This window comes from Homo sapiens, chromosome 16 (assembly GCF_000001405.40).
Source record: "Homo sapiens chromosome 16, GRCh38.p14 Primary Assembly".
NCBI lineage: Eukaryota > Metazoa > Chordata > Mammalia > Primates > Hominidae > Homo > Homo sapiens.
The window spans coordinates 26973759-26986772 of record NC_000016.10 but is presented as its reverse complement, the minus strand read 5'-3'; the positions used below and the strand labels follow the sequence as shown (position 1 = coordinate 26986772).

General features: G+C 46.6%; 1 annotated feature.

The window, feature by feature from the left end:
- Positions 591 to 1239: an enhancer, noted in NCBI's record as "OCT4-NANOG-H3K27ac-H3K4me1 hESC enhancer chr16:26996855-26997503 (GRCh37/hg19 assembly coordinates)". NCBI's record gives its function as "activates a minimal SCP1, AML or CMV promoter by ChIP-STARR-seq in naive H9 embryonic stem cells {active_cell/tissue: H9 hESC(naive)}" and the evidence as "EXISTENCE:reporter gene assay evidence [ECO:0000049][PMID:30033119]".

Genomic DNA, 13014 nt, shown 5'->3' with positions numbered 1-13014 from the left:
CTGAAGCTCTGGTCTCCCCTCTTTCTTTTCTTCTTGTGTTTTCTCCTCCTCTTCTTTCTCTTCCGTTGCTCTCTTCTCCTTTTCCCTTGCTGCTTTTTCCCTCTTTTCCAGCTTTATCTTCCTCTTCCTCCTCCTCCAGAAGCCCCCCACCCCCCTACAGGTAGAAGCGTGTCTTAGTCAGCTCAGGCCACTAGAACAGAGTATCATAGACTGGGTGGCTTTATCAACAGAAACTTATTTTCTCACCGTTTTGGAAGGAATTCTGAGTGTTCAGAGATATTACGAAAGGAAGGTCTTAGTATAGCAGCTGAGGGCTATTAATGCAGGGTCAGCAGACTGAAATGACCCTGCAAAGCTGTCTTTTGTGGTGGAAATTTGCATCTGTACAGGGTCCCCATTCATGCAGCCAGGCCTTTCCTGGTTTGGATCTAGGAGGGAGCAACTGAATCTGACACCTTAAAGATCTGAAAGAAGCATTTGGCCGGGCACGGTGTCTCACGCCTGTAATCCCAGCACTTTGGGAGGCCAAGGTGGAGGGCAGATCACGAGGTCAGGAGATCAAGACCATCCTGGCCAACATGGTGAAACCCCGTCTCTACTAAAATTAAAAAAAAGAAAAAACCAGCCAGGAATGGTGGTGCGTGCATGTATTCCCAGCTACTCGGGAGGCTGAGGCAGGAGAATCACTTGAACCCGGGAGACAGAGGCTTCAGTGAGCCCAGATCACGCCACTGCACTCCAGCCTGGCGACACAGCGAGACTCCATCTTAAAAACAAACAAACAAAAAAAACCATTTACCATTTATTCTCTGTGGGGGCTGCTACCTGTGTGGTTTGATCTACATAACAAGGCCACCTTTGCTAGCCAAGCCTCCTCCACTTCTCCTTCCATAATCTGCCTTGCCCCTGAAACCTGATTTACCACCATAGCCTGTTTTCGGCCATGCTCTGAGCCTGTTACAGGAAAGGGATTCCGATCGGGACCCCAAGAGAGGGTTCTTGTATCTCGTGCAAGAAAGAATTCAGGGCGAGTTCGTAGAGTAAAATGAAAGCAAGTTTATTAAGAAAGTAAAGGAATAAAAGAATGGCTACTCCATAGACAGAGCAGCCCCGAAGGCTGCTGAGTGCCCATTTTTGTTGTTATTTCTTGATGATATGCTAAACAAGGGGTGGATTATTCATGCCTCCCCTGTTTAGACCATATAGGGTAACTTCCTGACACGTTGCCATGGCATTTGTAAACTGTCATGGCGCCGGTGGGAGTGCAGCAGTGAGGACGACCAGAGGTCACTCTCATCGCCATCTTGGTTTTGGTGGGTTTTGGCCAGCTTCTTTACTGCACCTGTTTTTCATCAGCAAGGTCTTCATGACCTATATTTTGTGATGTCCTCCTCTCTCATCCTATGACTTAGAATGCCTTAATCGTTTGGAAATGCAACCCAGTAGGTTTCAGCCTAATTTTACCCAGCTCCTATAGCAGATGGAGTTGCTCTGGTTCACACACTTCTGACAAGCCCACTTTCTTTCTGTAACTTTAGGATAATATAAAGCTTCTTCATCCTGTAACCAAGCCCAGATCTCATCCTGCTCACGGCATAACAGCCAGTAAGTCAAGAGACATGGCATTGTGGCAAGGAAGGGGACTTTATTTCAGAGAGCCAGCAAACCAAGAAGATGGTGGACCAGGGCCCTAAAGAACCACCTTAAGTTAATACCAATCTCAGGCTCTTTTCATGTTAGGGGAAGGGGGAAGAGGGAGGGGTTGAGGTTAAGAGGTGACCGATGATCACAGACACCAGGGTGGCAGCAAGGATCCAAGGGGTTGTGAAACTTCTTTGTCCTAGGTTAGGTCACAATGCTCCTATACATCTTTAACGTAACATTGACGCTTGTATGTACACCCTCCTTATCTCCTTGGGGGTCAGTTTTGGGAAGGGAATAGTATCATCCTTGCTTTAAAGTTGAACTATAAACTAAATTCCCCCCCATAGTTAGCTTGGCCTATGGGCAGAGATAAGCACAAGCAGTTAATCTAAAAGATATCCCTGTAGGGAAAATGGGGAGGTTATGAGTAGCATGGAGTTAGCCATGGCAGGCCTCCTTTTCACTGTTAACAATCTCACCAGGACCAGGGGTTTGGGTCTTCACTCTGAGGGCTCATGTGTATACCAAATGTGATGGTTAATATTGAGTGTCAACTTGATTGGATTGAGGGATGCAAAGTGTTGTTCCTGAGTGTATCTATGAGAGTGTTGCCAAAGGAGATTAACATTTGAGTCAGTGGGTTGGGCGAGACAGACCTACCCTCCATCTCGGTGGGCACCATCTAATCAGCTACCAGGGCAGCTAGGATAAAAGCAGGCAGAGTAACATGGAAGGACTTGACTTGCTGAGTCTTCTGGCCTCCATCTTTCTCCCGTGCTGAATGCTTCCTGCCCTTGAACATCAGACTCCAGGATCTTCAGCTTTTGGGCTCTTGGGCCTACACCAGTGGTTTGCTGGAGGCTGTTGGGCCTTTAGCCACAGACTGGAGGCTGCACTGTGGGCTTCCCTACTTTTGAGGTTTTGGGACTGGGACTGGCTTCCTTGCTCCTCAGCTTGCAGACAGCCTATTGTGGGACTTCACCTTGTGACTGTGTGAGTCAATTCTCCTAATAAACTCCCCTTTATATATTCATCTATCCTATTAGTCCTGTTTGTCTAGAGAACCCTGACTAATACAACATCAAATAAATGTGTATACCTTTTTTTCTGTTAATCAATCTGCCTCATGTCAGTGATTTTCAGTGAACCTTCAGGGGGCTAAGAGTGCTGGTCCCTACAATACAACAGTATCAACAAAACTGCAGACTTTATTTAGATTTCACCAATTTTCCCATGAATGTTCTTTTTTTCTGTTCCAAAATCCAAGCTGGAGCCACACTTTGCATTTGCCCTTTCACATGCTAGATTTCAAACCCAAAGCACAGAGGCAGGAAGGACCTGGCTGAGGTTTTCCCATGCAAAGGTGGGTCTCCAGCCCCTTTGTCTGTGTTTTCCTCCCAGGCTGTGCATCAGAATTCCCTGGAGCTTTTTGTAGTTCCTCCACTGAAGCCACTGCCATCCATGGGAAGCTCCTGGCCCCTGGAAGACAGCTACCCTGTGACTCACCCACAAATACCATGATGCAGCTCCCTCTCCATGGTGTGTGGGGACAGTTCTGGCAGGCTTTAGTTTCCTCATTATTGGAATAGGGACGACGATCATGTAATTGCCTGACAAGTTCTTCTTGCCCACTGCACAGATTAACCCAATTCACTGAGACAGCATTATTGTAGTAGAGAAAGAGTTTAATTATCACAAGGCAGCCGAACAGGAGGATGGGAGTCATTACTTAAATCTGTCTCCCCGAAAATTCAGAGACCAGGGTTTTTAAAGGATAATTTGGCAGGCAGTGGGGCTAGGGAACGGGGAATGCTGATTGGTTGGGTCAGGGATAAAATCACAAGGGGTTGAAGCTATCTTCTAGCTGTCTTTCATTCCTGGGTGGGATTGCAAAACTAGTTGAGTCAGTTTACCAGTCTAGATGGTAATGTTTAGCACCAGCTGGTCCATCAGAGTGCAGGGTCTGAAATGTACCTCAAACACCAATTTTAGGTTTTACAATAGCAATGTTATCTATAGGAGCAATTGGGGAAGTCATGAATCTTGTGACCTCTGGAGCAATGGCTGGTTATCACTTAACTATGTCTACAGTTTAGCAGAGTTCAGAACCCTCCCGTGGTCCTAACCTTGTGGCTTTTCATTAGTTTTACGAAGATGGTTTGGTCCCTGAACAAGCAGTGGTGGTTTGGGGAAGGGCTGTTTTCATCCTTGCTGTAAAGTTAAACTATAAACTAAATTATTCCTAAAGTTAGCTTGGCCTAGGCCTAGAAATAAACAAGGACAGCTTGGGTGTTAGAAGCAAAATGGAATCAGCCATGTCTTATTCCTCTTACTGTTATAACTTTGCAAAGGTGATTTTAATCACACCATTTATGTGCCTTCACCACTCCATGCCTCAGTTTCCTCCTACATTAAATGGGGGCAGAAAGGGGAAGTTCATGTCTATCTCCAACAATTGTTGGAGCAGTTGATGAGTTGTATATGCAAATTAGCATGAAATAATGCTTATTAAGCAGTTTTCCACTCTGCACACTGGGACACTTGGGGGCTTCAACACCCATGGGTTCCGCTTCTGGAGATTCTGATTTTGTTGGTCTGGGCTGCATCCTGAATACAAGGATTTTTAAAAAGCTCCCTAGGTAGGCTGGGTGTGGTGGCTTATGCCTGTAATCCCAGCACTTTGGGAGCCTGAGGCGGGCAGATCATGAGGTCAGGAGATCAAGGCCATCCTGGCTAACATGGTGAAACCCTGTCTCTACTAAAAATACAAAAAAAAAAAAAAAAAAAAAAAATTAGCTGGGCGTGGTGGCAGGCCCCTATAGTCCCAGCTACTCAGGAGGCTGAGGGAGGAGAATGGTGTGAACCCGGGAGGCAGAGCTTGCAGTGAGCCGAGATCGCACCACTGCACTCCAGCCTGGACAACAGAGTGAGACTCCATCTCAAAAAAAAAAAAAAAAAAAGCTCCCTAGGTAATTCTAAGATGCAACCTGGATGGACATCACTGGTTTAAATAAAGATTTCCTCCAAACTCCACCTCCCAAACCTGCCAATCAGCAGCTTCAGTGAAGAATCAAGAATCAGAATTACAGTTATGTGGTAGGAGGGGAGACTGTGGATGGGGGATAAAACCTCATAACTCCTTTGAAAAGCAACACCAACAACGAGGGCTGGCATTTGTTTAGAGTTTATTGGCACGGTGCTAAGTGCTCTGTATGCATTATTCTCACAATGATCGCATGACCCAGGTCCTATTATTATTTCATAACTCTGACAAGGAAACTGAGGCTCAAGGGGCTTGAGTTACTTGCTTAAGGTTGCACAGCTGTTTATTGTCAGAGCTGAGCTATAACCCAGGTCAGTCTGATGCTAGATCCGGTGTTCTTCACCACAGGGCTGTCCTACTCAGAGCAGTGAGATGGCCTCAGAATGTAAACCTATGACTCAGTGGCCCAGTGATGCCAAATAATAATAGATACTATTCACTAGCGGAAGGCACTGGGCTACATCTATCTGGTTCCTTCCAACAGTGTTGAGAAGTAGATATCCTTTCCCAGGTGAAATAGGTCTTCAAAGAGATGAAGTGACCCACCTCTGCTGCTACACAGCACAGCTGGGAATTCAGCTCTCATTGGCTTGGTTCCCAGACTCTGAAGGAGGCTGCTTACATGGGAGGGAAGATCAGCCCACCTCAGCAGGAGGCACGAGCCCCACATCAAGAAACATTAAGAGGGTTTAAATGAGTTATGAACAGATATAATCGTCTCCCCCATATTTTCCATCAGAGGAAAGTGACTGTCAAATCGACTTCATTTTTAAGCACGCTATTAACAATACCTGGGAATTGTTTAATCTAATTGTTTTACAGCTCAGGAGGAGTTGCCATGAAACTGATGGGGAAATGTAGCATCTGGTGTTTGCTTCCTGGTGGGAACGTGCTGGGCTTGTCAGTTGGGGTCTTCTCCTTTCTGTTCCTCATCAGCATGTCTCTGTGGCAGGGGAAGAGACTGTTGGGGCCAGCTGTCATCTCCTTGTCATTCCCATCTAAGGCTTTTAACTCTCCCCAGCCCTTGGCCTTAGAATACACATAAGCCCGTTTCCCAAGCTCATGCCTGATGCAGTTGCAGAACTAATATTTCTGGGGAAGGAGAGAAAGAAAGAGAAAACAATAATAATTATGACAGAGGCAGATGGCTGAGCACCCAAGGAATTATGTTCCCCTTTCTTACAGTGGAGAATTGTTGCTGAAAAGAGGCTGCCCAGACAATACCTCAATTTCCCAGCCTTCCTTGCACCAAAGGGGACCATGTGACCAGTCCTGGCCAATGGCATGTGAGAAGAAGTGGTGCGTCTCACTTCTGGATCAAGGCAGATGCCCTCTCTATCACCCATAGCATGGAAGGATTCTAGAGGAGGAGAGACCTGAAGGAGCCTCAGTCCCAGAGTGACTCCATGGAAACCTATGTGACCAGGAGTGCCACCACATTGAGTGAGAGACAAACTTTTCTTATGCTAGGCTGCTGAGATTTTGTGGTCTATCTGTTATAGCACATAGCTTTATCTTATTTTAATTTTAATTTTTTTTAAGACAGGGTCTGGCACTGTCACCCAGGCTGGAGTGCAGTGGCACAATCTTGGCTCACTGCAGCCTTTATCTCCTGGGCTCAAGTGATCCTACTACCTCAGCCTCTTGGGTAGCTGGGACTACAGGCATGTGCCACCACCCAGCTAATTTTTGTATTTTTTGTAGAGTCTGAGTTTTGCCAGTTTTCCCAAGGTGGTCTTGAACTCCTGAGCTCAAGAGATTCGCCCTCCTCAGCCTCCCAAAGTGCTTGGATTATAGGCGTGAGCCACTGCACCCTGCCGACAACTAGCTTTATCTTAACCAACACCACAACATTTGTAGAGCTCCTACTCTGAGCCAGTCATTGTCATAGGAGCTTGACATATATCATCTCATTTAATCCTCTCAACAGTCCCATGAAATTGATATTTACAGATAAGAAAGTAGGCTCAGAGAGGTTAAGTGACTTCCAAGGCCACAGAGCAAGTAAGCATTGGAAGAAGAATGTGAACCCCAGTGAAGAGACTGCCACAGAATCTAGGACCGGTCATATCCAGTCCTAGTTGTTTGAAGTTTGTCTCTTCCCTTACCTGTGTATCCCCTCTCTTGAGTTGGTCTATTCCCAAGCTTTGGGCTTCTGTTTTGGTTTCCCATGCCCAGCTTGGGGGCCCTGTCCTATCCTTGCTGTCCTTCTAAGCCTTGGTGTCTTTCTCCACACGTGGACCATGTCTGAGGCCCTGCCACCCATAGGCAGTACTTGGAAGAGTTGACCTCCTGATTCTCCTGACCCCAGATCTTGGTGACACCCTCACAGTGGAGAGGAGGCAGTGGTTTCATCCAGGTCCCAAGATCAACTCGCTGTTTCAAGCAGGTGGAGGCAAGATGGGAACACAGGCAAGGGCAGGGCAGCATGAGAAGTTGGGGACCAGCAGAGTTTGGTTCATGAAGTCAAAGCACAACTGAGATGTGGACACAGAGGAGCATGACAGCTCACACAGGAGGCCAGCTCTGAGGGGCCATGTGAGCATTGGTGGGATGCAGGAGAGCTCAGCTGGCAGTATCAGCCGGGACACAGGAGCAGGACTCCTGAGCAGTTCTGCTGATTTCTCCAGGCTCACCTCTGGCTTTAATGGGTATCTGTGGTTTTTATTGATCCAGAACGTTCCTTTGAGGGACTTCTCCCCACTCTCACATCAATTATGTGGCTCCAGTGGGCTGCCACTTAAAACATCCTGCCCCAATCACCACAGGGACACTTGTGACTCCAGCACAGCCAATTATAACCCCACTTTCTTCTGGTCATGGTGGTTGGCTCAGGAATGGGCACATGACTCAAAATGGCGGCTGTTCATTGAAATTTTTTATTTTTTGCAGGAGGAGGTGGAAGAGGAGGTGGTATGTTGCCTTTAGGGTCTTGCAATTGAGAGGATGTGGTAGCTATCTCCTCTTCCAAATGAAGACAACCTATATACAGCAGGAGATGATAGGTCCAGAATTAGTCAAAGCCAAAACATAAAGGGAGGATCAAAAAGGTGGGGGGAAGGGGGAGAGAGAGAGAGAGAGAGAGAGAACAGAGAGATGGCAGGGGGAGAGAGGAGAGGAGATAGAAAGGAGATAGAGGAAGAGTAGAGAGATAGAGGAAGAGAGAGAAAGGGGAGTGGAGGGGAGAGAGATAGAGAGAGAAGGGGAGAGAGAAAAAGACAGAGACACACAGAGAGAGCCCATTTTCACTTGAACCCTTAGATCCAGCTGTGCCTGAAGACAGTGCTATGTTGAACTTCCCACTTGCATGAACCAAAAGTTCCTCTTTCAATATAAACTAGTTCGAATACAGTTACTCTAACTTGAATCCAAGAGTCTGGAATGGCTGTTTGCCACCTCACATGCAGCTTGACTGACTTTCAAATTTTCAAACAGACCATGCTTTCACCTTCCAGCTTCACCCACAGGCAGCTTTCCACCACTGCCTGGGATATTTTTGTTTCTTTCTTTATTTCTTTTTTTTTTTTTTTTTTTTTGAGACTCTCACTGTGTCACCCAGGCTGGAGTGCAGTGTCATGATCTTGGCTCACTGCAACCTCCTCTTCCCAGATTCAAGAGATTCTCGTGCCTCAACCTCCCGTGTAGCTGGGACTACAGGTGCATGCCACCATGTCCAGATCATTTTTGTATTTTTAGTAGAGATGGGGTTTTGCCATTTTACTCAGGCTGGTCTCGAACTCCTGAGCTCAAGTGATCCACCCCCCTCAGCCTCCCAAAGTGCTGGGATTACAGGCATGAGCCACAGGCCCCGGCTTCAGTAGACATTTGTTGGAAGAGGGTCTTGTTCTGGCTGAATCATCATGCATTCTTGTGCATGGCATTCACGGGTGTTAAAGGTACAGTCCAGTATCATTGAGAATTCTGGCAGGAAACATGCAACATACCACAAGGAACGATTGAGGACAGTTTCTTGAAGGGACTATGTACAAGGGCCTGCGTGGGGTTAAGGGAGTCCCACACAAGAAGATGATGTTTTCTGGGACTAGCAACGATGGTGAGCTATTAACTACCTGTAGGCCTGAGACTGGGAGGGAAGGTTTAGCAAAACCTAAGGATGCTGCAGGCAATGGAGAGTCATCCAAGAGGACTTGTGGTTCCCTTTCCCTTTCCTTCTTTCTTTCTTTCTTTCTTTCTTTCTTTCTTTCTTTCTTTCTTTCTTTCTTTCTTTCTTTCTTTCTTTTCTTTCTTTTCTTTCTTTCTTTTTTTTTTTTTTTGACAGAGTCTTACTCTGTTGCCCAGGCTGGAGTGCAGTGGTGTGATCTCAGCTCAATGCAACCTCCACCTCCTGGGTTAAAGCAATTCTCCTGCCTCAGTCTCCTGAGTAGCTGGGAATTACAGGTGCATACCACCACACCTGGCTAATTTTTGTATTTTTAGTAGAGACAGGGTTCTGCCATGTTGGCCAGGCTGGTCTCCAACTCCTGAGCTCAAGTGATCCACCCGCCTTGACCTCCCAAAGTGCTGGGATTATAAGCGTGAGCCCCAGCACCCGATGTGGACCTGTGGTTTCCATTGAAGAAGTGCAGCCATACCAGTCTATGGCCTAACAGTGAGAATGAATACTCTGACCTCTCTTCTCCTGCCCTCTGATCTCTGGTGAGCATCTCACATCAGTTGAACCCAACCCGAAGCTAGAAGGTGAGGGAGCTCATTGACGTAAACTACAGAAGCTCTCCTCCTGGGGCATCAAGCAGGTGGGAAAGGATGGAGTGAGTCTGGAGGGACAAACAAAACTTTTGTCCCAAGACCTGTGACAGCGACCTGCTGTCCCCCAGGTGGGCTTGTGATCCAGGTGCTGACTTGAGCACAACCCTTGAAGATGTCACTTTGGGAGGTACAGACTGGGAGAGCAGTCTGCACTGCAGAGTCCAGCAGAGGGAGAAGCATCATCAGTAACACAGGCAAACAATGCCAACGATATTCACATGCCCATGTCCCCGTGGCCTGACCCCAGCTGGCCACTCCTCCCAGGGTGAGAACAATGATCAGACATACTCTGTCACTTGTCACTAGCCTAACCTCCCGACATCAACTCCCCAGGGACAAGGGAGCAGCATCTAGAACACAGTGGATAATTATTCTTCAAATGAATTGAGCTATCGGGGGCATCCTGGCTGAATCAATCAAAGCAGGTGGGGGCAGATTTCACAGAGCCAAGAGGCCATGGCAGCTCTTTGTGATAGATTCGTGTAAGAGGCCTCTTTTGCCACCACCCAACATTCATAAGCGATGCCTCCTCTCCATGTCGTTCAGCCATTTCCCATGCCAAATGAAGATAAATGTCAGAGGAGCAAATAGCCTTCAAATTGCTATTGAAAATATTTTGGAAAAGCCATGAAATGCCAAGCCTTTCTCCTTCTCATAAAGATTCTATTTATCTTCTGAGAAATGTTCCCCACCCTCCTGAGAAGCTAAATATGACTCAGTGAGGTTGGGAGTTAGTGCCTATGTGCTATTTCTTTCTTTCATTTTTTTTGAGACAGAGTCTCTCTCTGTTCCCTAGGCTGGAGTGCAGTGGCGTGATCTCGGCTCACTGCAACCTCTGCCTCCTGGGTTCAAGTGGTTCTCCTGCCTCAGCCTCCTGAGTAGCTGGGATTACAGGCACGCTCCACCATGCCCAGCTAAATTTGTATTTTTAGTGGAGACGGGGTTTCACCATGTTGGCCAGAATGGTCTGGATCTCTTGACCTTGTGATCCGTCCACCTCGGCCTCCCAAAGTGCTGGGAGCTCCACCCCGCCCAGCCCCAAGTGGTATTTCTAAGGAGGTGGCAATGCCTAAGTGGTGCTCCTTCCAACTGCGTGAATTTCCATTCCGTCAGCGTAAACTGACCAGCCAATGCCGTGCTTCCAAGGAGATTACTTCATTCAGTGTTTATTGAACACCTAGCTGGTGCCAGCCAATTACGTTCAGCACTTGGAACATGGCAGCAGACCAAATAGACAATGTTCTTATTCTCATAGAGCTTACCTTTTAGCATGTAGTGTGTGCAGAAACAGACTATAAAGAATAGATGTCAGGCCGGGCGCGGTGGCTCACGCCTGTAATCTCAGCACTTTGGGAGGCCGAGGCAGACAGATCACGAGGTCAGGAGATCGAGACCATCCTGGCCAACATGGCGAAACCCCATCTCTACTAAAAATACAAAAAAAAAAAAAAAAAAAAATTAGCCATGTATGGTGATGCGCGCACTCACCTGTAGTCCCAGCTACTCGGGAGGCTGAGGTAGGGGAATCACTTGAACCCGGGAGGCGGAGGTTGCAGTGAGCTGAGATCGCGCCACTGCACTCCAGCCTGGCAACAGAGTGAGACTCTGTCTCTAAATAAATAAATAAATACAATAAAAAATAAGAATAAATGTCAAGGCAGATGGTGATAAATGCTATGAAACCAAAGTACAGCAGAGCAGGCAGTGAGGGGTTAGAGGGCTATTTTAGATAGGGCAGTAAGAGAGGGTGTCCTTGTAACATTTAGACAGAGACAAAAGGGAAGTGAAGGAAGCAAAGCAGATATTTGAGGAATAGGGTTACAGACCGAAGGAACAGTCTGTGCAAAGGCTTCAAACATGGGTGGCCCTAGGGGGTTTGAATGGCAGCAAGAAAACCACAAGAATGGGAAAGTGATAGGAGCTAAGATCAGAGAGAGAGCTCAGAACTCATCACGGAGGAAATGTTAGGCTGTGGTTGAATTTCAAACTTTAATTTGAGTGAGACTGGGAGTTATTGGAGTGTTTTGAGCAGAGCTGTTGTGTAGTCGGATTATTCTGGCTGCTGGACTGTCATAGACTGTTGGAGGCCAAGGGTGGAAACAGTAATAGGAGTCAGGAGCTGGGGCATTCTGGGTGAGAGATGACAGTGGCTTGGTCCGCAGTGTAATGTCACAGGTAGTAATGGTAGAATCCTGGATATGTTTTGCTGATGGAGCTGATGGGATTTGCTGGTGGATTGGATGGATGGATGGATGGGCATGAGAGAAAGAGGAGTAAGAGATAACTCTAAGATTTTTGGTCTGAGAAACTGGTAAAGTGGAGGTGTTGGTTAGCGAGAATGGGAGACCTAGTTTGGAGAAGAAAATAAAGAGTTCAGCTTTGGCCAAGTTAAAGTTCGAGATGTTGGCCAGGTGTTGTGGCTCATGCCTGTGATCCCAACACTTTGGGAGGCAGAGGCGGGAGGATTGCTTGAGTCCGGAAGTTCAAGACCAGCCTGGGCAATATGGCAAAACCCTGTCTTTACAAAAAATACAAAAATTAGCCAGGCGTGGTGGCATGCACATGTAGTCCTAGCTACTCAGGAGACAGAAGTGGGAGAATCACCTGAGCCCAGGGAAATTGAGGCTGCAGTGAGCTGTGATTATACCACTGTACTCCAGCCTGGAAGACAGGGTGAGACCTTGTCTCCAAAAACAAAGTTTGAGATGTCTGCTGATGGCCAAGCAATGCTGCTGAGTAGGCAGTTGGATATTGGAGAGGTTGGGGTGTCAGGTGCACAGATAGTGTTGAGACCCACTGGGATCAACACTGTTTGGGATAAGTCAGGGAGGCAGAAAATTTGTTCAACCAATTTTCTTCAGAATTACCCTATGCACAACCTTTATGCATGCATTGGGACACAGCTCATGGCCTTGTATGTAAGACGGATGAGTAACTGGACAGTCTCAATCCAGTGTGATGAGCGTAGCTATGGAGGAACTCAGGGAGAGGCACCCGACTTGGTCTTGGGATGCAGACAAGACATCCTGGAGGAAATGAAATTTACATCAATACTTAAAAGAGACAAGGAACTAATATTTACTTAGTACAATCAGCCTTGGTATCCAGTATCCATGGGTTCCACATGCATGAATTCAACCAACTGTGGACTGAAAATATTTGAAAAAACTTGCATCTGTCTTGAACATGTACAGACTTTTTCTTTGTCCTTATTGCTAAACAATATGGTATAAAAACAACTTCCAGACCATCTACATTGTATTAGGTATTATAAGTAACCTGGAGATGACTTAACATATATGAGAGGATGAGCATAGGTTTATATGTAAATATTAATACTATGCCATTTTATATAAAGGTCTTGAACATCCGCAGATTTTGGTATCCACAGGAGGTCCTAGAACCAATTCCCCATGGATCCTGAGGAATGACCTCAGTATCCAGGTACTGTTTCAAGCACTTTGTATTAGTCATTCTTAAACTTTCCTGGATATTTATATCACTTGGGAAGAATTTAAAAATCCCAATGCCTGGGCCTAACCTCAGACCAATTAAATCAG